Raw genomic sequence first — 25,750 nt, forward strand, 5'->3', positions numbered from 1 at the left:
ATAAAAATATTAATAATAAAAATTAACAAAACCAACTTACTAAAAATAATAGCTAACATTAATATATGCTTTTTATATGTAAGAAGAGTTTTTTAATAGTTATTTAAATCTCACACTATTTCAGGCTTGGCATATTATCTGATACAATGAAAATGTCAATAAACATTATTGAGATTACCTTCATTTCACAAATAAGGAAAGTGACTTAGGAATTCAAGACACTTACCCAAGATCCAAAGATAATAAGATTTGGAACCTTTGCATATTATGTATGTTTTACTCCAAAGCCAGTGACCTAAATTAGTAAGCTCAACTTACTAATAATATTGGTAATAATAGTTCATATTATTGAAATTTACTACATGCCATGTTCAGCACAGTACCTGTATAAGATCAATTAAATCTCACAATCCTAGATGAAATAGGCTATGATTGTTATACCATTTTACAGTTAAAGCAGTGGAGGCCTAGAGAAGCTAAGGAACTTCCAAAGTCACACATTAATAAGAGGCAGAATTAAACTGGAGCTCCAGCAGGCTAACTTCAGAGCCAGAGTTCTTAATTTGACAAGATGTAATGTCTGATTAAATCCAAGGAGGTAAGGGAAAGCACTGTGCCATGGAAGACTCCCAGGTTTTTAACGGAAGCACTTAATAGATGGCAGGACCACTTAGTAATATAGACAATAAAAGATAACTGAAAAACAACATAACAAAAAAAACCATAACAAAAAAATAGATGTAAGTTTTTGAAAGATGACAGTATAGTGGGGAGAAAAACCCTCAAAATAATAAGCTTAATAGTAAGTTTAAAAATCTAGACTGTAATCCTAGCTCTGCTATTTACCAGCCCTTGAGATTTTGGACTAGCCACCACTTTAGTCTTAACGTTTCTTATTTATAAAATAAAATTAATACATATTTCATTTGATTCTAAAGTGCACCTCACACATACATTTTAACATCCCCACAATTACAACATATCTGATCATCAGTGGCATCTCTGAGTTGATGGAATGTAAATGCTGAGGTGAGGATGCAATGAATTAGTGTGTGCACACACACTACACATGCTTTGGAAACCAGAACATCATAGAAATGTAATCTATAAGATACTATTGACTCCTGGCTATCTCCATTAGCATAGCTTGCCATCACCCCAAACTCAAGTTTAAAAACCAAACTCAATCTTTTATCTTCAAAAAATTTACAATCTACTAATCAAGTACCTTAAGCTGGGGCTGAAAATCTTCAGAGTCATCTTTACTCTGCCTCATTCTTTTTCCTTAATACCATTACCACATCATATATGTTCATTATTCATCTCAATTTTCCTCACCACTTTACTATTTAGGCCAAGTTCTAGCTAATATTATATTTCTGCAATAACTTCTTATTCTTATATTCTATCGAACCTACTATACTGCTAAGTAAATGATTTCAAACAGTCTCTTTCCAATTAATGTCTATCTGTCTCTCTCTCTCTCAACAGCTACAATGTTGCTACTTATACTGTTCTGCCTTATCTGGAATTTCCTATACTTGAACAAGTACGATTTACACTTCACTTTACACCAATCCTCCATTCTCTTAATTAAATTCTTACAGTAGATAGAATCAGTACTATAATGTAATACTTTATTAGATTTTTTTTTAAATAATGAAAAAGGGCCTGGGATTGTGACATAATTCCTACATCCAGATTTAAAATATGTATGTCTTAATTATAAAAAGAAATAGTAAAATATTTTCTGAATTTTCTTAGAATGTTGTGCTAATTAGGTTACACCATTCAGTATTTCTCCTGTTTTAAAGTTATTCTTAAAAGCAGTACCAATGGTAAGAATCCATAAACTAACTTGGAAGTTGCCAACATTATGCTAGTAAGTGATATAAGCATTCTTACACTACAGAGAAGAAAAGGAACTGTAGGTCAGATATTCTGAGGTACATATTTTAAAATATCTACTTGTTAATACTGCTTTTCAAAAAAGCAATATAGTTGCACTTGGAAATACATGAAAATTAGCATGCTTCCAAAACATATTAGAAGTTAAGCTTATTGCAAAAACACTGTAATATTTTTAAAATTATACAAACTAAATTATATACCTTGTGTCTTCCTTGAAGATTCATAGCTAGGCATAAGTTACATTTCAAACAATGGAAAAAATCTTCCTTTGGACCAATCCTAGCAAAACACATGAAAGCCAAAAGATTAGATTATTTTTTACTACAGTCATGATTTGTTCATTATGTAAAACACAAGTTTAGTCTCTGTAAAAAAAATTTCCAGCCACAATGGAGAATATGGGATAAATCCCTATCTCCCCAACATCCCTCTCCAAATGTAAGCACTATACACAGAGTGGTATCTACCCTTCTAGGGCTTTTTTTTCTTTTTCTATAAAATTGCAAAAAGAGAGAAACACAGACACACACACACATTTCGGGTTTGATTTCTTACATTAATGGATTCTTTCTACAGATGCCATTCTGCAACTTTTTTTCACTTGATATATTCTGAGGATTTTATGTCTGTCTACACAGAACCACTTCATTCTTCTTAATAGCTACATTAATGGCATGGATGTATACTAATTTTTTTAAATATTCCCTCAGAAAGATCATAATTTATGATCTTTAGTTGCTACAATGATACAGTAAACATCCTTGTCCAGACATCACTTAGTTCACATGTTGATTATTTTTTACGAGATTCCTAGAAGTGAAACTACTGAGTCAGAAGATGTTGCAACATTAATTGTGATACTGCCAAACTGACCTCCAAATAGACAGTACCAATTTATACTTCCACCAACACTGCATGAGAGTAACCATGTTCCCCACACTTTGGGTAACATGGTTACTTGTATTATAGACAAACAAAAGATGTCATTTTAATTTGCATTTCACAAATAATGAGACAGGGACTGTACATTAATGAACTACTTGGATTTCTCTGTGGATTGTCTGTTCATATGTTCTGTCCATTTTTCTACTGAAGTATTTGTTTTTAACCAATTTACTGGTAAAAAATATATCATGAATATTAGTTATTTATATAATGAATATCAATGTTTTCATTCGCATGTATTATATTTATATATCACCAATATCAATTTTTTATTTGCATATTTTATATTTACTTTTCTGGTCTGTGATTTCTCTTAACTTTGTCATATAGCCATTTTTAATTACTATGTGGTAAAAAGTCATCAATATTTTCCTGTATAGCTTATGCTTTCTGCCTCTTGTTTAGGAAACTTTTGTAACCTATAGATCATAAACAGACTCTCCTATGTATACTTCTAGTACTTACAGCTTTTCATTTTTATATTTTTCTTTAATCCATTTGAAATTTGCTATATATGGCAAAGGTTAGATTGCTACTTGTCCCTAAATTTCTATTCTCCACTTCTTCTACAATGATAGGGTATTTAGCTAGGCACTGAGCTATTCAGAACTGTCCTGAATAAAGACTATTTTCCAACATACCTGGACGTTGGGAACAGAAGAGATACATGAAAATTCTGCATTGTACCCTCAAGAGGAAAAATATGCCTTCCCTTCACCTAACTAGCCTTTCTACAGACCAGAATATGAGGCATTTTAGACTACAGAGACAAGAAAATATCTTATGGGTGACAAGGCAAAAAACAAGAAGAGCCTGAGTTCCTGTTTAGCTACACAACTCAGATTTATTTCCATGAGAAATGAACTTCTGCCTTTCTTGAACCACCATTACTTTGGGTTTCTGTCACAAGATGCTAAATCCATACTCTAATGAATACAGTTTGAAGAGTCAATTTTTGGTTTCCGAATGGATAATCAATTATCTTAATACTACCCTTTCCTGATTTGAAATGTCACTTTTGCCATAAATTCATATGTATAAATATTTGTCTGTGTATATACACACACACATATTTATCTATTCGTCTATTCCTGCACAAACAGCAAACTATTTGAATTACTATAGCTTTATCATGTTTTGATATGTGGAACGGCAATCCACTCTTCGTTGTCCTTCCTTCAAAATTTACTCAGCTATTGTGAATTTTCTCTTACAAATGAACTTTAGAATAGGCTGTCAAACTCCATAAGTAAAATTCTGCAGGGACGTTTCCACTACTGCCAAAGATAGAATAACGGAGATCAGACCTACCCTCCCATCTGAAAAAATAATGACAAAAGACAGAATATATGAAACAGCAGTTTCACTGAACATCAGGCAACAACACAGAGTGATCTGTGAGAGATAAGAAACAAAGTAAGTGAGCCCTAAAATTGCTCATTTATTGCCTAGAGAGTTTTGAGGCCAGGACAGGTTAGAAGAACTAAGGGTGAGCTAGGAAGACATCATGATTGAAATGATGAGCTGAGACAGTCTAGAGAAACCAAGACAGATTCATAGGACAGAGCATCAGATAGGAGAGAGCTGCACAGAGAAACCTCTGAAATATTTAGTAGGATACCCATCAGCACATGGATGTAAGAAAACTACCCAAAGCCAGGGAAACAACCTTCTAAAGAATGAGAACAGTACTACTCACACATGGCTAGGAACAGTGCCTGATCCCATCAAACAGACTGGGGAAACTCATAATTCGCAGGCTCCGGGTGGAGTATTCAGAAGGATATTGCCTCAACAGTGGAGAATAGCCCTGGGATAAGCCCTTCTGTAGATCTACCTAACAAATTAGAAAAGTAAATCCCAGAAAGTCTAAACTGTTTCCAAGTAACTTAACTGCATCCCAAAATAAAGCTCAAGAAGATTTATAGGAATACAAAAATACCCAGCACTAAACATGATAAAAAGAAAAATCACATCTGATATCCAACCCACAATAACCAGGCAACAAAGAGGCAGAAAAACACAACCTAAAATGAGAAGAATAATCAATCAATCAACCCAGAACAGACACAGATGTTAGAATTAATACAGGGCATTAAAAGTTATTATAACTGTATACCATTACATTAAAAAAGTATTAAATATGAAAAATATGTTTAAAGACCCAGATCAAACTTCTAGACATAAAAACTACAATGTCTGAGATTTAAAAATACACTGATGAAACTAATGGCAAGTTTGATATTGCTAACAAAAAGGTTAGTCAACTTGAAGGCACAGTAACAGAAACTATCCGAAATGAAATAGGAAGAAAAGGGAATTTTTTTAAAACGACAGAGCATGAGTAAGCTGTGAGACAACTTCAAGCAACCTAACATACATGTGTTCAGTTGAGCCTAACGCTGCCTCCTACATATTTTAAGATCGTCCTAAAAGGCTTTGCTGTACATAGTTAACTGTAACCTAACTGGATGTGTTTACCTACAGTAACCTACTCTAGTACCAATCAATCACCAAGTTTCATCCAATCACAGGCAGTCCTCGGTTCAAACTGTGTTTAAATAAGGCAAATGCTGAGCTGTAACCAATCCAGCTGTTTCCATACCTTACTCATTTTCTGTCACTTTCCTTTGTCTGTCCATAAATCCTCTCTGACCACATGGCAGAGCCAAGGTTGGTCTGAACCTATTATCATTTTGGAGCTACCCACCTTGCAAATCGTTCTTTGCTCAATTAAACTCTGTTAAGTTTAATTTAAACTCTGTTAAGTTTAATTTAAACTCTGTTAAGTTTAATTTGTCTTAAGTTTTTCTTTTAACACATGCAATTGGAGATCCCTAAGGTAGGAAGCAGGGGAAGGAGGAGGACCGAAAAAACATCTGAAATAGTAATAGCCAAAACTTTCCTGAAATTAATGAAAAAAACTATAAACCAATGGATTCAAAAAGCTCAACAAACCCTAAGCACAAGCAACATGAAGAAAACTATACAATGGAATGTCATAATCTAATTATCAAAACCAGAGACAAAGAAAAAAAATCTTAAAAGCAGCTATTTTGAAAGAAAGAAAAGAAGACGTGCACAGGAGAAAAATAAAAATGACTGGATTACCCCCGGGACAGACTTCACAAACTCAAAATTGGTAAAAGGAAAGAAATAATAAAGAGCAGAGCAGAAAAAAATGAGAGTGAGACTAAAAACACAATACAAAAGACCAATAAAACAAAAGCTGGTGTTTTTGAAAAGATAAAATCAAAAAAAAATGTAATAGACTAAAAAAAAAAAAACCAGAAACAAAAGAGAAGACGTAAGAACTCAGACCACAGAAATACAAAGATAGATACTATTACGAACAACTATTTAACCACAAATTGGAAAACCTAGAATAGATAAATTCCTGGACACATCCAACCTTCTGAGATTGAACCACAAAAAAACCTCAATAAGCCAGTAACAAGTAATGAGACTGAAGCCATGACAAAAAGTTTCACATCAAAGAAAAGCCCACAATCTGATGGCTTCACTGCTGAATTATAGCAAACATTTAAAGAAAGGAAGGAAGGAAGAGAAAGAAAAGAAATCCTAAAATTTATATGGAGCCACAAAAGACCCTGAATAGTCAAAGCAATCCTGAGCAAAAAAAAAAAAAAAAAACATAACTGGAGAGGCTTCACACTACCTAACTTCAAAATATACTACAAAGCTATTGTAATCAAATCAGCATGGTACTGGCATAAAAAGAGACAAGTAGACCAATTATGCAGAACAGAGAATCCACATATAAATGTATGCATTTACGGCTAACTCATATTCAAGAAAGGTGCTAAAAATATACAACAGAAAAAGGACAATCTCTTCAATAAATGGTGCAGAAAAAAACAGGATACCATATGCAGAAGCATGAAACTAGATGCTTCTCTCTCACCGTACACAGAAATCAAATCAAAATGGATTAAAGACTTAAACCTAAGACCTGAAACTATAAAACTAATGAAAGAAAACACTGGGGAAACTCTCCAGGACACTGATCTTGGCAAAGATTTTTTTGTGTAAGATCTCAAAAGCACGCACAACTGAAACAAAAACAGACGGAATTACATCAAGCTAAAAAGCTTCTGCACAGCACAGGGAAACAAACAAGTGAAGAGACAACCCACAGAATGAGAGAAACTATTTGCAAACTATCCACCTGACAAGGAATTAATAACCAAAATATATAAAGAGCTCAGACAACTTAATAACAAAAAAAAAGATTTAAAAATAGTCCAAAGACCTGTACAGTAATTTCTCAAAAGACAAACTAATGGCCAACAGGTATGTGAGAAAATACTCAACATCACTAATCATCAGACAAACAGAAATCAAAACCACAATGAGGTATCATCACACCCCAGTTAGAATGGCTTATATCATAAAAGACAGGGAATAACAGATGCTGGTGAGGATATAGAGAAAGTGGAACCCTTGTATACTACTTGTAGAAATATAAATTAATACAGCCACTGTGGCAATCTGAATGGAGAGTCCTCAAAAAGACTAAACATAGAGCTACCATATGATCCAGCAAGTCCACTAAAAGTACATATCTAAGGGGAAATCAGTACCTCAAAGGGTATCTGCACTCCCATGTTTACTGCAGCACTATTCAAAATAGCTGAAATATGGAAGCAACCTTAGTGTCCATCAGTGGATGAATGGATAAAGAAAATATGGTATATGTACACTACGGAGTATTACTCAGCCATTAAAAAGAATGAAATCCTGTAATTTACAGCAACATGGATAGGATGGAGGTCATTATGTTAAGCGAAACAAGCCAACCACAGAAAGACAAATATCACATGTTCTCAATCATATGTGGGAGCTAAAAACAGGATGTCATGAAGATAGAGTAGGCTGGAAGACACCAGAAGCCTACAAGGGTAGGGAGGATGGGGCAGGGGAGGGGATGAAGAAAAGTTGATTAATGGATACAAATATACACTTAGAAGAAATAAGCCCTGGTGTTTGATAGACCAGTAGGGTGACTACGGTTTACATTAATTGATTATACATTTCAAACTAGCTAAAAGAGAATTAATTCAAATGTTTCTAGCACAAATATTTAAGCCTGGGCAACAAGGGGAAACCCCAACTCCACAAAAAATTAGCTGGGCATGGTGGCACATTCCTATAGTCCCAGCTACCCAGGAGGCTGAGGTGGGAGGATCACATAAACCTGGGAGGTCAAGGCTGCAGTGAGTCATGATTGTGCGATTGCACTCCAGCCTGGGCAACAGAGCAAGACCCTTTCTCAAAAAACAATAAATATTTAAGGTAATGGATAACCCAATTAGCCTGATTTGATTATATGAATGCACTGAATTACCACATGTAGTCCAAAAATATGTACACCTAATACATGTCAATACAAATAAGGATAATCAGAACACAGCAACCACTTCTGCTATGCGACTCTGTCTTATAATAAGCTCTGGTGCTTATTTAATAACAATGAGAAACTGGTTACTTCCTCACTTTTTAAAAAGCTTATTCTTGTACATTACAGTAAGGATATATGTTCATTACCAAAAAATTAAGACCAGATGTTTGCCCGTATTTACCGAAAACTGAAACCCCATCTTTAGGGCACATCTGTCTTTGAGAAATATAGCCACAGTCCAAAGATTATCTATAACTATAATGAAGCTATTTTAAAACATAAATCAGGAATAATACACTATTAAACTCTGTACGAAGCACTTGAATTGCTTACAGTGATTCTTGCCTAAGGATGAACAGCAATTTTTCAAGCCCACACCTCCAGATGAGAGTCAGATATATCTTAGATGAAGCAATAGGGTCAAGAGTAGAAATTTCAGTAGGAGAGCTATACCAAGAAGACCTGTTCATCCTTGCCTTATAGATTTATTTAATGAACTAAAAGCAATGACAAACTTTCATGATATACCTAAGACAAAAATGTTTAATTCCCAAAAAAGACTTGGTGCAAAAGACTATCAAGAATGTGCAGCTCCAAAAAGACTGATTTTCAAACAAAAATACAGGAATTAATACATTCAAATAACATGATTTTTTAAAAAGTTATCATGAAAGGATAGTTTTCAACTCTAACCAGTTTCTCAAATATATATTTATAATTTTTATACATACTATATACAATAAAATATGTATATATTTTTAGACAGAGTTTTGCTCTTGTTGCCCAGGCTGGAGTGCAATGGCACGATTTTGGCTCACTGCAACCTCCCGCCCACGGGTTCAAGCAATTCTCCTGCCTCAGCCCCCCGAATAGCTGGGATTACAGACATATACCACCACGCCTGGCTAATTTTGTATTTTTAGTAGAGACAGGGTTTCTCCATGTTGGTCAGGCTGGTCTCAAACTCCCAACCTCAGGTGATCTGCCCGCCTTGGCCTCCCAAAGTGCTAGGATTAGAGGCGTGAGCCACTGCGCCCAGCTCTTTTAATATTTTTATTATCTAAAAAATAATAGTCATTATTGATGATCATATGTCATTTGACTAAAGACAGTATTTGTCAAACTTAATAGATTTTGCTTCCAATATCTTTTGGCAGATTTTTTAAAAATCAAAAGAACTCAAAAATCCTCGAGGGTAGTTTTTCAGTATGCCATATGCACTCATTAAAAGCAACTGCAGAAAATAAACATTTCAAATATTTTTGAACAATGACAAAAGATAAAATGCCTCCTAAAATGCCTACTTGAAGTGAACATAATTATTTGTCTATAACGTGAGTCACATATTACAATACCCAATAACATAAAACAACTTTTCTATTTGAAAATTCTGTTATTCTATACATTAAACATCTCCTAATTATGTTCCACTGAACATGAAAAGGATTCTATAATCAAATACTGTTATTAGAAACTCAATATACTTGGATATTTGCACTGTACAATTAACAAGTTAAAAGTTCTGAAAAGGCTCAGTGCGGTGGCTCACGCCTATAATCCCAGCACTTTGGGAGGCCAAGGTGGGAGGATCACCTGAGGTAGGGAGTTCAAGACCAGCCTGACCAACATGGAGAAACCCCATCTCTACTAAAAATACAAAATTAGCCAGGCATGGTGGCACATGCCTGTAATGCCAGCTACTCGGGAGGCTGAGGCAGGACTTGAACCCAGGAGGCAGAGGTTGCGGTGAGCCAAGACAGTGCCATTGTACAACAGCCTGGGCAACAAGAGTGAAACTCTGTCTCAAAAAAAAAAAAGTTCTGAGAAGGGATTTTGATTAAATTCAGCATTTAACAAAGCTTTTATGACTGCAAAAGCCTTTTTATACAATATTCACTCTGTACCCAGGTCTAGTTCTTTTTTTAATCAATTCTGTTTTAAAGATGAATATTTTGTGACATTTATTCTTTCTTTAGAAATCTTCCAAAGAAGGCCAGCTGCGGTGGCTCACACCTGTAATCCCAGCACTTTGGGAGGCCAAGGCAGGTGGATCACGAGGTCAGGAGATCGAGACCATGCTGGCTAACACGGTGAAACCCCGTCTCTACTAAAAATACAAAAAATTAGCCAGGCATAGTGGCGGGCGCCTGTAGTCCCAGTTACTTGGGAGGCTGAGGCAGGAAAAAGGCATGAACCCAGGAGGCAGAGCTTGCAGTGAGCCAAGATCGCGCCACTGCACTCCAGCCTGGGCGCCAGAGTGAGACTCCGTCTCAAAAAAAAAGAGAAAAGAAATCTTCTAAAGAAGAAAATCTACTTTTTCTTTAATAGAATAAACTCATTCTATTCTGTTTGCAATTATCATATGGGTCCATTGAACCCTTTCATAAATCTGATACATTATGGAATCTTAATCTTATTTTTCCTAATTTTGGTATTTCAGCATCCTAGGAATCCTTTCACATTATCAATCATTCCCAACTATCCTAACAAAAAGACTAAAATGCAAAGCATGGTAGAAAGACCTTTCATGTAGAAACATGAAAGAATGACATGAAATAATCACTAATGCATAATCCTTCGGTTTTCTTTCTGTACTGCTCAAAGTATTACATCATCTTTCCAGAAGGCATTAAAGAGTCCGCAGATACCTTCTTTGTAGTTTTCCTTGAACACAGTTGAGAAATCAGAATTTTTCATTTTTCACAAATAGAAAAAAAAAAAGGAAAATTTAGACAAAGCAGAAAATAAATGCAAAAAGGCAGATAACCATTCTAGACTGAAGGTTCTCCACCTAGGCAATATTTACATTTTGAACCAGATAATACTTTGTAGCAGGAAAGCGTCTTGCACATTATAGGATGTTTAGTAGCATCCCTGGTCTCTATCCAGTAGATGTCATTAGCATCTGCTACCCCTCACTCCCTGGTTACAACAGCTGAAAATGTCTCCAGGCATTGCCAGATATCACCTGGGAAAAAACTCTCCCCAGTTGAGAACCAGTGCTCTGGACTCTAATTATAATGATGGTGAAATCAATCCTATAAGCAATAAATCAGATTATGATTTTCAGATGATGTACCATATGAATGGTCTCACTGAAAAAAAGGAATGAACAATATATTTCTAAGGACAAAAAGAAAATATGGTGGCCAGGCACAGTGGCTCACACCTGTAATTCCAGCATTTTGGGAGGCCAAGGTGGGCGGATCACGAGGTCAGGAGATCAAGACCATCCTGGCTAACAAAGTGAAACCTCATCTCTACTAAAAATACAAAAATTAGCTGGCTGTGGTGGCGAGTGCCTGTAATCCCAGCTACTAGGGAGGCTGAGGCAGAATTGCTTGAACCCAGGAGGCAGAGGTTGCAGTGAGCCGAGATCACGCCACTGCACTCCAGCCTGGGTGACAGAGTGGGACTCCATCTCAAAAAAAAATTAATTAAAAAAAAAAAGAAAATATGGTATCCTCACTTAGTCATTTATTAGGAAGGACTTCAAATTACATTATTTCATGACAAAAACCTGGACATCCTTAAAGAATGTGTGATAATATTCTTCCATCTTTTATGACGTTTGTACACCAAAATTTACTTAATATGGTTCATAAGTGGACAAACGTTGAAGGCAGGTACATATGTTAAAGTACTTAAAAGGAAACAGATGATGTAAAAATGAAAAAAATTCATTAAAATGTTTTGCAATTACAGAGCATGCAATTATGAAGAAAGGTCGTCTTTTCTTCAACCAAATTACGACTCTCAAAGTTCTCAAATGTATTTGAATTTGGTAATATGTGTACAGAAGTAATGATAAGCCAAGACTTATCAGTGGTGTATTTGAGATCTGGAATTAGTATTGCATTTTGATGATACAAATACAAGAAGAACCAGAAGTAATTACAAGCTAGAACCTATTAGAAATGTATCTAAAATCTAGTATCAGTTATTTACACGATGCACATGTGCCAGATTCAAGCATGACAACTGACAAGTAAATACAGTTGACCCCTTGAACAACACAAATTTGAAGTACACAGGTCTACTTATAAGCAGATTTTCTTCTACCTCTGCCACCCCTGAGATAGCAAAGCCAATCTCTCTTCTTCCTCCCTCTTTTCAGCCTACTCAACATGAAGAAGGATGAAGACCTTTATGATGATCCATTTCCACTTAATGAACAGTTAACATATTTTCTCCTTATGATTGTCCTAATATTTTTCTCTAGTTTATCCTAAGAATATAGTATATAATACATATAACATACAAAATATGTATTAATTGGCTATTTGTGTTATTGATAAGACTTCCAGTCAGTAGCAGGCTATTAGTAGTTAAGTTGTGGGGAGTTGAAAGTTATACTCAGATTTTCAACTGAGCTGGCACTTGGTGCCCTTAACCCCCAACATTGTTCAAGGGTCAAAAGCAGTTACAGAGGACACTGACATATTTGAGCACACATTATCTTCAACTTGGAATACATGGAATTAAAATTTGGGTTTGCAGTGTTCAAATTCTTAGTAAAATTTCCAGTGAAGTTAATTTTCACTATCCTTTATTCTTTCGTCTGCACATTATTCACAAAAGGGCTTTAAAATATTTTTTAAAGTAAAAAGAATCCATTATACTTAAATGGTAAATGGCGATGACTAATTTTTCTAGTATATTCAGGGTTATCATAATACTGAAAACACTGCCAAAGATATACTGCCTACACATTACTGTGCACCTACTGTATATACGGCAGCGGTCACCAACCTTTCTGGCACCAGGGACTGGTTTCATGGAAGACAATTTTTCCATGGACCGAGGTTGGGGGATGGTTTCGGGATGAAACTGTTCCACCTCAGATAATCAGGTATTAGATTCTCATAAGGAGTACACAACCTAGATCCCTTGAATGCACAGTTCACAATAGGGTTTGTGCTCCTATGAGAATCTAATGCTACTACTGATGTGACAGGAGGCAGAGCTCAGACAGTAATGGTCGATCACCCACCACTCACCCTGCACTGGGCGCAGCTCAGTTCCTAACAGGCCATGCACCAGAATCCGCACCCCAAGCACTGGGGACCCTGATATAAGGCACTCCCAGGTATAGAAATTTAAAATATGAAAATACCATGATCTCATGAAGTTTAATATTTACCATGTAGCATGAGATGTGTACTTTGCAGTAACAATAACTTGAATGTCAATAAATCAACCAATAAAAGAGGGTATGATTTTCTTGGTTGTGTGTGGTAATTAGAAGCTATGTGTAGATATGATATACAAAATAACACTACAAAAGTGAAAATGAATTAGAGTTAATCAAATAGGATGAATCTTAGAAACAGAGCTCAGTAAAAAAACAAAAAGAAAAAAAGGCCATATATATGATTTTTAAAATAAGCAAAATGAAACATATATTGTAACTTCTACTTCCACAATGACGAAATAGCTTCTATAGGACTAAAACTCCTACTGAGAACTAGAAAAACTCAATTTAAAGAAAACAAACAAGCTGTTTAAAAGTAGTAAAGAGCAACTGAGTGCTTGAAGGGCAAAGATCTCAGAGAGAAAGCAAATATACTGAGGCAAAGTCAATAGTCTCTACTTCTTTCTTCCTTGGGAGATTTTTAGACCCTAAACTGTGCTGTGACAAGCTAAGAAACTAAACAGAGAGCAACAGGTAAGAGCCTAAGAAACTAAGTAAACCCTCTGAAAGTACTCCTATGCTAGGGGGCCAAAATTTGGAGTCCAGATTCCACCACGAAAGAGATGGGCCTGGTAAACAACCCTAGCTTTAAGTCAAGATCTCCAAGGGACTATGTCCTAGGAGCATAAGAATAAAGGGAGGAAAAAAAAAAAATAGAACAGGACATACAAAAAAAAAAAAAACAAAAATTAGTCTCTAATCATATCAATGCTAAATTGGATTAAGGTTATCCATCCCTACATTAACTGCCTTCTGAAAGAAAATTAAATTCTCTCTGAAAAAAAAATAGCATCGAGAGCTTAATAAATTTTTACATATTATGTCCAACAATCAACTAAAAAAAAAAATCAAGCATGTCAAAAGGCAGAACCAAACACCAAGGGAGAAAAAACAGAAAACAAAATTTACCCATAGATAATCAAGATATTGGAGTTATTAGGCACAGTCCTTTAAATCATCTGTGATCAATACATTCAAAGAAAAAAAAGGTAAAGAATTTCACCTGACAACTAGAAAATAACAAGAATGAAGATAAAATATAAATTTTATAACTTAAATAAATAGATAACTTGGTAGGCTTAAAAGCAGATTCAATGCAGCAGAAGAGAGACCTGGAAGTTAATCTGTGGAAAGTATCCAATTTAAGCATAAAGAAAATCAAAGTAGGAGAAATACAGGAAAAAAAAAAAGAGACATGGGATGTAGTAAAAAGATCTATGGGATGGAGTCTCAGAAGAGGTGGGAAAACGGTACAGAAACATTATCTGAAGAGAAACTGGCCAAAAATATTTCAAAATTGACAGAAGACATCAAGCCACAGATTCAACAAATGCTACAAACCCCAAGCCAGATAAATATTACACTCAATCAAACCTGGACACACGGAAAAAATACTAACAACCAATGACTTAAAAAACAGCGAGAGGAGGATAAAAGACATTTTAACTTCAAAGAAGCAATAATAATCCTGAGAAATGATATTTTTAAACAGAAACCATGGAATCAGAATATCTTTAAAGTGTTGGGAGGTCAGGGGAACCAATACCTGTAAACTTAGAATTCTACACCCAGCAAAAATATTCAAAAATGGAGGCAAAAAAAAGACATTTTTCAGAGACAAAAAAAACTGAGAGAATGTATCATCAGCAGGACCTCACTAAAAGAAACACTAAAGACAATTCTTTAAGCAGAAGAAAAGTAACTCCAAAGATAATGCTGGAGACCTACAGGAAAGAAGGGCAATAGAAACGGTAAATATATAACAACAATAGCATATAAAGACTCTTAGTGTTTAAGGTCCTAATATTGTCCAAGAAGTGATAAACATATTATTCTAGTAAGCCAATGATGTATGTTATAATTTCTAGGATAACCACTAAGAAAATAATTGAAAAATGTATAACTAACAAGCCTATAGAGAATAAAAGCAAATAGGAAAGCAACAGATTAATCCAAAGAAGACAAGAAAGGAGAGGAAAAAAGACAAATACTAAGGCAATAGAAACTACCAAAACTGTAGATTGAAACACGAACATATCCTAACTACCTTAATAAAAAACGAACTATATACTCCAATTAAAAGACAGTTTTATCAAACTGGATTGAAAAATTAAAATTCAACTATATGCTGTTTTACAAGACACATGACTTAAATGTAAGTATACAAAAATGTCTAAATGGAAAAGGATATACATGCAAAAACTCATCGAAAGAAAGCTGATATAGATACAGTAGAGCCTAGGGCAGGAAACATTACTAAAGATAAAAAGACACATTATATAATAATAAATGGGTCAATCATACAGGAAAATGTAATAATTTTAAGTATGTGACCGCTGAAAGACATGGCCTTAAAACATACAAAACAAAACACAAAAGAGCATATACTATATGATTCCATTCATTAAAAACTTCCAAAAGTCAGCATACTGGTTACCTTTGGGGAAGTGTATTAATTTGGAGGGGGCACACAGGAAGCTATGAAGGTGCTATGAATGTTGTGTTTCTTGATCTGGGTAGTGGTTACAAAGGCATGTTCATTTGTTAAAATTCATAAAATCATTTGCTTATAATTTCTGTTATCTTTTGGTAGGTTGGTTATCCTTCCTTAAAAACAAACTATATTTTAAAAAAACAAAAAAAACAAAAAAAAAGCAAGAAAGTGATTTAAAATATTCAAGACAGTGATTACCTCCAGCAGGGACAAGAAGAAAGGACTGAACACGGAACACCTTGGGCTTTGACAGTATTGGTAACATTCCTTTCCTAAACTCGGTGGCTTATTCACTGTACTGTACTTTAGACACACTTTACATACATGCTTTAATATACATCTAAAATACTCGAGATTTTTAAGAAAGAAAATAATTCCTTATACACCGACATGTCAACAGTAGCTTGTCTGTGGTTAGGCTCTGGTTATTTTATTTTTATTATTTCTACTTTTCTGTTTTTTCCAATTTTTATAAAATCACCTGTATTTCTTGATAATTTTTTAAATACTAATTTTTACAAAGGAAAAATTTATCCCAATTCTCTACCTCAGTTGCCCATAAAACACTTTATATAAAACATATTTTATAATCCAAAGGTAAAATTCTAAATAGTTATACAATAATTGATGGGTAAATTAAATTATTAACAAATTATGAATAAACTTTTTAGAATGGATATGTTCTATAGCTTGATTGTGCTGATAGTAAAAGAGATACCGGTATTTATCAAAACTCACTTAATTGGACACTTAAAATGAATGTATCTTATCAGATGTAAATTACACCTTAATAAAGTTGATTTTAAAAACTATTATTGCATATACATTAGAAGCAATTAGATAAGAACACTTTACATACAGTACCTACAAATTCCACAGTTTTCACAGTGATACTGCTTCTTATCTTTGTCAAACAAATGGCATATATCGCAATAATATTCTCCAAACAATGTGCTACATTCTTCACAAGTCTGTTGGGCCTAAAAAAGAAACATAATTAAAAACTGCAATAAACTAAACATTTTGAGTTACCATTTGAATATCTAGAACTTATGTTCAACTATATGCAGTTTATTTTTATAAGTTTTGAAACACCTAAACCAAAGATATTGCTTATTCTAGAAGTTAAAGAAATCTTATTTATGATACTTTTGATTAAATTTTTTCAAACCACCTTAATACAGCTTTTAAAAAGAAAATAGAAATGTCATAAAATCTTACATGTTGAATTTTTTCACAGTTTATGCACTGCACTTCCTTCACTTTAAAGCGATCTAGTTGATGATCTTCATTGTTATCATGACACAAGCGGCAAGTATAAAGCTTGTCACAGCAAGGTGCCTAACACCCACGGAGAAAAAAGAGATATAGTAAGAAGCAAAAGAAACTAAGTGTGCAATACAAAAAGAAAATTTCTTCCTCCTCCTCCTGGATGGAACTGAAAGATTACAACCAATAGATCAGTTGCTAAACTGATCCTAAACATAACATTTCACTAGTTTCTTGGCATATTTTATGTTAATTCTTCCCTTCAACATCACTACGTCTGTATGAAGTTGAACACAACTTTAAAACAAAAGAATTATGAAGGAAATCCCTAGATTGAAACACTAATCCCACAACACCTGATATGCTTTGGCTGTGTTCCCACCCAAATCTCAACTTGAAATGTATCTCCCAGAATTCCCACGTGTTGTGGGAGGGACTTAGAAGGAGGTAACTGAATCATGGGGGCCAGACTCTCCCGTGCCATTCTCGTGATAATGAATAAAATCTCATGAGATCTGATGGGTTTATCAGGAGTTTCCACTTTTGCTTCTTCCTCATTTTCTATTGCCACCACCATGTAAGAAGTGCCTTTTGTCTCCCGCCATGATTCTCAGGCCTCCCTAGCCATGTGGAACTGTAAGTCCAATTAAACCTCTTTTTCTTCCCAGTCTTGGGTATGTCTTTATCAGCAGTGTGAAAACAGACTAATATAACACCCCAATTTCATTCTGAGCCTAAACAGCAAACAGGCAACCTCTTCTTAGACATTTCCAGATAAATTCATTTACATTAAAAATAATAAAGATTATATTCTTATTTTACTAGCTTTTATTAATCATCAACCTCATATCTAATATTGCACAAAATGCAACAAATGTAAGAGACAGCCCTTGTTTTCAAACACGGCAAAGACTGCCAGTTGTCCACCAAAATCTATCCTCTCCTTCCTGGGCACAATTGTTCAGCTATATCAGACAGATGGCCACATGCCCTAAAACATGACAAAATGATACAACAGAAAAATCTCATCCCTGGAGTGACCATGTGGAGCAAAGCCTCATCACCAACCTGCATCACTCGCCTTGGAATTGTTAAATGGAAAGAAATAAAACCTTTACTCTTTAATCTACATCACTGTTGGGTTTTTTCATTACAGCAACTTTACCATTACAAGTATATCAAGAGATTTCCAGGCCAGTGACTTTCCAATACACTGTGACCTTGCAGATCCACTCATTTCTGAAGGCTTCCTATGCCTTGACTTACCATAACGTAGTTCATTCCTTAAAGATTTTAACACTTAACTGGCTTCCTTTTTCTGCAACTCTCAGTTCCTTAACTTTGTCATTTCCAATAACCTTGTCCTCCAACCCACTATTCTCATAGTTATACCGCAGAACAGTAGTTCTCAAATGGTTTGGTCTCAGGATCCCTTCACACTTTTTAAAATTACTGAGAATCCCAAAGAGCTTTGGTTTATGTGGATTTTATCTATTGACATATACCACATCATAAATTAAAAAGAATAGGTTTTTAAAATATTACTTCTTTTTAAAAGTAACAAACTCATTACTTGTTAACATAAATAACATGTTTTAATGAAAAATAACTATATTTTTCCCCCCAAACAGCTGAATTCTTCTATCTGCTTATGCATTCAAACAGTTGTGGCTGAAGTACAAAAAGAAACTCTGGCCTCACACAAATATGTACACTGGAAAAGAAAGGAGTATTTTAATAGCCTTTTTGGAGAATTATGGATATCATTCTCTGATATTACACTAGAACAACAACTCTTAAAGGGTAGTTGCAACATGAAATCTGAAATCGTATCAAGGAATATGATTGATATGATGCCTCTTTTCTTCCTTGGTTACATTAAAATCTATTGCTCTATCTTGCACTTCAAATGGATGTTTTACTCATGCATTGGTCATCTGGAGAATACCAGTTCAGTGAGTTATTTACATCTTCTAAATGTTCACACATTTAACATGCAATATCAAAAAATCATATTCATTAAAAGTCTTTAGGTATTGAAGAAAATCTCACCAAAAAAAGTCTTTTAAAAAGCTTCCAACCTCACAAAAGCTAGTAAAAGTTTTCCAAAATTCTAATTTTTGTGTGAAAGCTTGAATTTTATCACTGGCAACAAATACTGTCATTTTCATTTGTAGTGAGTCTCACTTTTCTCCTTTTTGAGAAAATGTCTGCCAACTACCCAAATGTGAATGACTACAATTTTTTCAAGTAAAAAATGCTGTTCCATGAAAAAAAGCAACTAGTTCACTTTACAATCCAATTTGCACAAGAGCTTTTCCTCAAGACAACCCTCTAATTTCAGTTTGCAGAAGTGTTTGATCAAAACTTCCCATGTCATTGAACAGCATATTAAAAGATATATTCAAGGGTTGAGATTTGGTTAAAATTAACGATTTTACTGCTTTATCAACATTTTTAAGTGAAGCTGGCTTTTTAAAAAAACTATAGGTGTAGTATAGTTCAGTGCCACTGTCTTGATTCAAGCTAAGATACTAGCAATACTAAACAGTGCTTTTCCACCATCAATGCGTGTGTCAACAGACTGAAAAAAAAAAAAAACAAATATCTTAGTGTTCATAGAAAGTAGTTTTGGCCTTGCAGAGCCCCTGAAAGGACTTCAGGAATCCCCAGGGTTCCATTCACCACACTTTGAAAACCAATGCTACAGAACAACGGCACCCTCTTTGCATCTCAATTCCAAGCATGAAATTCTCTAACCATTACCTCCTCCCTAACTTACTCCAAGTCTCCCCTTGCAACACCCTAGTTCCCTTCTCAGTTCCTCTACACTCATAGATAACAATCCCAACCCTAGTTAAATCCTATTTGACTTCTATCAGAAGCAGGTGAATATGGCTAGAGAAAAAGCATCACCGTCCTTGCTGGTTCATATGAGGTGGACACTTACTACCACGTTTCCCTGGTCAATTCTCTCATTCTTCCAGAGTCTAAGACCTAAGATTTAGATGATCATTTCACTTCTTCTCCTCTGGCTTTAAAACTCTAACAACTCTTCCTCCTTAACACTCTGCTGATGACCTTATTTCACTATAAAAACAGTAAACATACTTCCTGCTGACAGGCCTGAAAAGAACATCCTCCTATTATCTCTATTAACTTACTTGCAAATATACCTCATTCTCTGCCTTCCCTTAGGAAGAACTGACAGTCTATGTTTCTAAGGCCAACTCCTTCACTTGTGCACTGGATTTCATCCCCTTTGGCTACTCAGGGACAATGCCCTTACAGTTTTCTCACTCTCTCCTGCATTATAAAACGTTCTCACTCTATTGTATCATTTCCTAGAATATACAAACATGCTGTAATACTTCCTCTCTTAAAGAGGAAAAAATATGGTGCCAGATCTCCCAGCAACCACATCTTTTTTTTGCTCCCCTTTACAGCTAAACCCCAAGAATACCCTATAAGTGCTATTTTCAATTCCACTCCTCCCATTCTTTCCTAAATTCACTCTAATCCTGATCTCTCCACTAAAACTCCTCTTGTCAAGATCACCAGTGACCTCTTCCTTGCCAAATCCAAAGGGCAATTCTCAGTTATCTTACTCAAACAGCTGCATTTGACCCAGCTGACCACATCCTCCTTGAAATACTTCACTTGGCCTCTGGTATTTAAGGGGGGGGGGGGGGCGGGGGAAGGCAAAAACTGTTTGACACCTAGGGCGAAGTATCTTAGTGCTATGATACACAGATCTAATTGTGTGGTTTATGGGGGGCACCAAGATGTTAAATTCCGTTTTAGACCTCAAGTTTGAAAGAATAATAATACATCTCAGTAGAAATTGAATCATAAGGATAGCATTCAATTTCCTTACACAACACTTGGTGGATGACCAACATTTTTAAGGAGCTTCATCCAGTTCAGTGGAGCAATGTTCGTCAAGCCATGACCTATAGAAAAGAGTTTAGGATGCACGTACAGGCCTGAGACTTGAACTTGCTTCTAATAATGAGGCAGTGACCAGCAAGGCTGACTTGTGAAGTGAAAGAACAAAAAATAATAATACTCAGATTGACGATGATAGTAACAGTCATGGTGGTATATATTTACTACTCATTTACTTCAGGGAATGCGCCCTGTTAAACACTATACACGCCCTTTAGTATATAATCCTCATACACTTTTATGAAACAGGCGCGATCATCTCCATTTTACATACGGGGTAGAGAGGAGCTAGCTAAAATCAGTTATTAAAGAGGAGAGCTAAGATTTGGGGATAGGGCGGTTGAGGTTCCAAAGCTCAAGTTTTCTAAGCAAAATTTTTGTACTGTTTCTTGCAAGGAAAATCAGGAAACTTCAATTGAATACGTGCCAATTTAAAAAAAAATACAGATTAAGAAGTTTTCTCAGAGTAACAATACATGCTTATTAGGCACTTTCCTATGCATAATTTCCTATTTAATGGCAATTACATGATTGTCTTCTTTTTTGGGACACACGTTTTCTCCTACGTCTGAACATGTGCACTGCCTTTAACATGAAGCTGGCAGGCTATAAAACTTTACCACAGGAGCTGAAATCGTATTCGGGTTCTCCACTTGCTTATTTCCATTATCTCCACTTCCATTATTTCATCACACACCTGAACGGAAAACCCCAGTACAGGCCCGGGGCTGCCTCAGTCTACTTCGGCAGCAAAAGACGAATAAGCCCACTGGCAGAGACCACTGTGCAAGCCTAATCACTTCCCAAGAAGGGTTTTGCTTTAAAGGTACGAAGCAGGTAGGAAAGGTGGGGCTTATCGCCTTGCCAAAAACGTTCTCCTCAAGAAGAACCCAGTTCCAGGTGGAAAAGGTATCCTGAAAATCAGGTTAACCTCAAACTTAAATCCAAGCCTAACCACCTGCCCAGCCCGCCCCAGCCCAACCTGACGGAAGCTTGTCAGGGAAGAGTCCATAGAAGGCGTCACCTTTAGGAGACATCCTCTGTCATAGTGCTCGCAGCCCCGCTGACCTCGCTCTTGACCGCTGGCGCCATCTTCCCGGGCCGTCGCCGCCATCTCCTCCACCTCCCCTCACATTCCACCGATCCTTCCCCCAGGATAAAAACCACGCCCAGAGAAGCTGCGCCTCTCTAGCACACCCCTCCCAGCCCCAGCGGCCACTAGCGACAATATGGCTCCTAAGCACGTGACCCGGGGCAGACGGATTTCCGGTTCCCGGGGCTACGAGGCGGAAGCGAAGGCAGACGCAGTCTCCGTCGTTGACGTTAGTCGCAGTCTTCGCTGCTAACGGTAATAACTCTTAGGTTGCCTGTTTTCCCCCAATCGCTACCCGCCCAAATCTCAGGGCGTAGTTCGGCGCGAGGTTGGCGGCAGCGGCGCGGAGACGCTGGTTGGCCCCAGAGGAAAGGACGCTCACTGGGCGCATCGTTACCTGTGACGGGTCCTCCCTCTCTCCCTCCGGTGGCGGGGAGCCTGGAGAAAGGGGCGGAGCTCGGCCCGGGCCCTGGGCTCAGCGGGTCCCGCGCGCTGCTCTTGGACGCCAGGGTGCTCGCTGGCACCTCGAAGTGCTTCTTGCTTCCTCCCTTTCCCGTTTACTTGCTGTTCTTTCAAAATATGTACTGACATTCACTATTGCCAGTCACCAGCTAAACCGTGAGGACAAAAAGTAAGGAAAAATAGACACACTCCACCATGACCTCATGGAACTAACAAGACTGGTGGAGGAGGAAGACATTAATAAGAGCAATCACTGCAATAAATGTAAGATTACAACCTGGAGAAGTGCTAGGAAGAAGTGTGTGTCCTGTGAGAGCTAATATTAGAGCAGCTCTGACAATCTGAGTGTCAGTGAGGGAAGGCTTCCCTGGGGAAGCGATGCAAGCCGAGGGCTGAAAGATGGGTAGGAGTTAGTGTGCAAAAGGCTTTGTGGCACAAAGAACATGGTACCTGTTAGAAGGTGGAAGGAAAATGTACAAGCCAACAAAATTGAAATCATACTCGGGGTACACAGCTAAATATGTTTCTCCTTATTAAAGAGTCAAGGCCCTGGAAAATGATGTAAGCAAAGCTGCAGGTGTTAGAAGAAGATATTTGTCTTTAGCTTTCTATCCTGATTTTGTGTTTCCTAAAACACCGGGAAAGGGAAAATATTCCCCTTCAGCTTTCCGGTTACTAACTCTTAACATTCTAATTTTCTTTCAGTTTTGTTATGAGTTGCTAAAATGGTGAAATGCTGCTCCGCCATTGGATGTGCTTCTCGCTGCTTGCCAAATTCGAAGTTAAAAGGACTGACATTTCACGTGTAAGATTTTGCTGTAGTTAAGCCAAATACTTTGGCCATGTTATAAAAAGCAAAAGACAGTTCTACTTAAGTCTTCAATTTTGAACTTTAGTTCCCGAGTCCTTTTTAAATAACCTTTTTGTTAAATTTGAAGTGACAATGTGATACCTTTACATGTTTATAATTTAGTTTAAAAGTTTTAAGATATCAGAGACTTTAAGATATCAGAGACTGGTTTACAAAAAATACCATAAGGCTAACTTTTGCTAATATTATTACTTTGTATTTTATCACACCGCCAAAGAAATTCAATGTTGTTTACATGTAGTTTACAATCTGAATGAAGGAGCTTTGCTCGAATATATTGCCCTCTCTATTTAGAAGTAGATCAAGCATAGGTTATAGAGAAAAAATACAAATTACAAGTTAAGACCAAGGGATCTTTAGCTGTGTTGCAAATAAATCAAAATGATTTTAGTTTCATATTTTAGCCATTCTCTTGACAGCCATGAAGGAGTAAGTGAAGGAGTAATAAGATTTAATAGTTGTTCACTTGTTAAAGGTTTATTTTGCTGCTTTTGTGCCAGGCACTGTCCTATGTGTTAGAGAAAGATCTCCTAGCTATTTTGTTAGATATAATAAATCAAAACTGAGCATATATATCCTACCTTATTTTAGAAAAATTTGAACCAGCTTGAAAATTGAGTAAGATATGGCTATTAGGCCTTCATATCTCTCAAAATAGCTCTGATCTCCAGAACTCCACACTGCAGCTATTCTCTGCATTCATTCACTAAGCATCTGTAGACCTGCTATGTATTAAATGCTGTACTAAGCAATTTTCTGGTGCTGACAGAAGAATGGAATTACAAGGGGCCCTTTTTATCGAGGATAAATTCTGGATATCATTTCAGATAGGAAAAGGCCCAAGTGATAATTCTTTTATCATCTATAGATGAATAAATACCTTCAATTGTGGATCTTACTATAAGATGCTAAATATCCATTGAAACTTTTCTTCCTTATAATGTGAGAAAAAATGAAATGAGGGCCATATATCTGCAGCATGATTGGCAGAAAATCTGAATATTAAAACGGAAAGTAACAAAAGCATGAATTATGGTTTCCTAAATATTATAATTCTCAAGACTAATAAACTAGTTAACGAATCAATTTAGTCACAGTTGTATAAGGCAGCTTTAATTCAATTATATAGCAATAGTATTTGATTTTAAAATATTTTTTGTATTTTTTTTCTAGATTCCCCACAGATGAAAACATCAAAAGGAAATGGGTATTAGCAATGAAAAGACTTGATGTGAATGCAGCCGGCATTTGGGAGCCTAAAAAAGGAGATGTGTTGTGTTCGAGGCACTTTAAGAAGACAGATTTTGACAGAAGTGCTCCAAATATTAAACTGAAACCTGGAGTCATACCTTCTATCTTTGATTCTCCATATCACCTACAGGTTTGTTTATGAGATACTGTTTACCATCATTGCTCACTTTTTTTTTTTTTTTTTTTTGAGATAGAGTCTCGCTCTGTCACCAAGGCTGGAGTGCAGTGGCGCGATCTCAGCTCACTGCAATCTCTGCCTCCAGGGTTTAAGCAATTCTCTGCCTCAGCCTCCCGAGAAGCTGGGATTACAGGCACCTGCCACCACACCTGGCTAATTTTTGTATTTTTAGGAGAGATGGCGTTTCACCATCTTGGCCAGGCTGGTCTTGAACTCCTGACCTCGTGATCCACCCTCCTCGGCGTCCCAAAGTGCTGGGATTACAGGCATGAGCCACCGTGCCTGGCCATTGCTCACTTTTTATGATACTATTGAAGAACCTTCACCACTCTTGCTAACATTTTTATTGTTTGCTTATTCATTTGAAGTCTGTTCTTGAAGTTTTAAATTTGTAGACTGCATCTTCAACTTTTGTAATGTGTAGTAGGAGTATTTTACCAGTAACCACTCATAAATATTTGTATATTACTAAGGTTTGATGAAGTGGGCTGACTTTAGGAATTAGCATAACTGAAGATTTTTGTCTAAAAATGGAAGTTAACGTAAGAAGGTTGAACTGATGTTCCAAGTTGGCAGTCCTTAACACTGGGGCAGAAGTCAGGAGTAGAACCACTAACAGGACTAAAGTACTTGTAAGAGCCACATACATGCAAGCATAAAGTCTAGGTAGGATCAAAAGGAAGAAAACCAAAAAAGAGATCTAAGAACAGGA

General features: G+C 36.2%; 2 protein-coding genes across 27 annotated transcripts in view, besides 5 other annotated features; one reads left to right on the forward strand and one right to left on the reverse strand.

Annotated features, from left to right (window-relative positions):
* The window catches only part of RCHY1 (ring finger and CHY zinc finger domain containing 1), a 35,683-nt gene extending 12,957 nt beyond the window's left edge, over window positions 1–22,726 (reverse strand). For 3 of the 15 annotated variants that reach the window (NR_103724.1, NR_103723.1, NR_037913.1), the window contains exons 1-4: window positions 22,208–22,441; window positions 17,188–17,307; window positions 16,831–16,946; window positions 2,112–2,190 (exon numbers count right to left, since the gene is read on the reverse strand). Coding sequence is in view for 10 of the 15 variants with exons in the window: in NM_001009922.3 (NP_001009922.1) it covers window positions 2,112–2,190; window positions 16,831–16,946; window positions 17,188–17,307; window positions 22,208–22,297 (405 nt within the window). In the remaining 5 variants the exon portion in view is untranslated. Of the gene's footprint in view, window positions 1–2,111; window positions 2,191–16,830; window positions 16,947–17,187; window positions 17,308–22,165; window positions 22,442–22,673 lie in introns of those variants that run through there. The other 12 variants (XM_024453984.2, XM_047450036.1, NM_001009922.3 and 9 more) reach the window with 9 other exon arrangements.
* Window positions 21,523–22,453: an enhancer, noted in NCBI's record as "H3K27ac hESC enhancer chr4:76438722-76439652 (GRCh37/hg19 assembly coordinates)". NCBI's record gives its function as "activates a minimal SCP1, AML or CMV promoter by ChIP-STARR-seq in primed H9 embryonic stem cells {active_cell/tissue: H9 hESC(primed)}" and the evidence as "EXISTENCE:reporter gene assay evidence [ECO:0000049][PMID:30033119]".
* Window positions 21,523–23,384: a biological region, named in NCBI's record as "H3K27ac hESC enhancers GRCh37_chr4:76438722-76439652 and GRCh37_chr4:76439653-76440583".
* THAP6 (THAP domain containing 6) overlaps window positions 21,919–25,750 on the forward strand; it is a 33,421-nt gene continuing 29,589 nt past the window's right edge. For 5 of the 12 annotated variants that reach the window (XM_006714109.5, XM_005262774.5, NM_144721.6 and 2 more), the window contains exons 1-3: window positions 22,484–22,531; window positions 23,444–23,543; window positions 24,783–24,990. In XM_006714109.5, coding sequence (XP_006714172.1) covers window positions 23,464–23,543; window positions 24,783–24,990 — 288 coding nt within the window. In that variant the 5' untranslated portion in view covers window positions 22,484–22,531; window positions 23,444–23,463. Of the gene's footprint in view, window positions 22,010–22,483; window positions 23,003–23,443; window positions 23,544–24,782; window positions 24,991–25,750 lie in introns of those variants that run through there. The other 7 variants (XM_047449652.1, XM_011531666.3, XM_047449653.1 and 4 more) reach the window with 3 other exon arrangements.
* Window positions 22,140–22,619: an enhancer, noted in NCBI's record as "active region_21617". NCBI's record gives its function as "activates an Ori minimal core promoter by ATAC-STARR-seq in GM12878 lymphoblastoid cells {active_cell/tissue: GM12878}" and the evidence as "EXISTENCE:reporter gene assay evidence [ECO:0000049][PMID:35858748]".
* Window positions 22,454–23,384: an enhancer, noted in NCBI's record as "H3K27ac hESC enhancer chr4:76439653-76440583 (GRCh37/hg19 assembly coordinates)". NCBI's record gives its function as "activates a minimal SCP1, AML or CMV promoter by ChIP-STARR-seq in primed H9 embryonic stem cells {active_cell/tissue: H9 hESC(primed)}" and the evidence as "EXISTENCE:reporter gene assay evidence [ECO:0000049][PMID:30033119]".
* Window positions 22,960–23,179: an enhancer, noted in NCBI's record as "active region_21618". NCBI's record gives its function as "activates an Ori minimal core promoter by ATAC-STARR-seq in GM12878 lymphoblastoid cells {active_cell/tissue: GM12878}" and the evidence as "EXISTENCE:reporter gene assay evidence [ECO:0000049][PMID:35858748]".

This window comes from Homo sapiens, chromosome 4 (genome assembly GCF_000001405.40).
Source record: "Homo sapiens chromosome 4, GRCh38.p14 Primary Assembly".
In the NCBI taxonomy this organism is placed as follows: domain Eukaryota; kingdom Metazoa; phylum Chordata; class Mammalia; order Primates; family Hominidae; genus Homo; species Homo sapiens.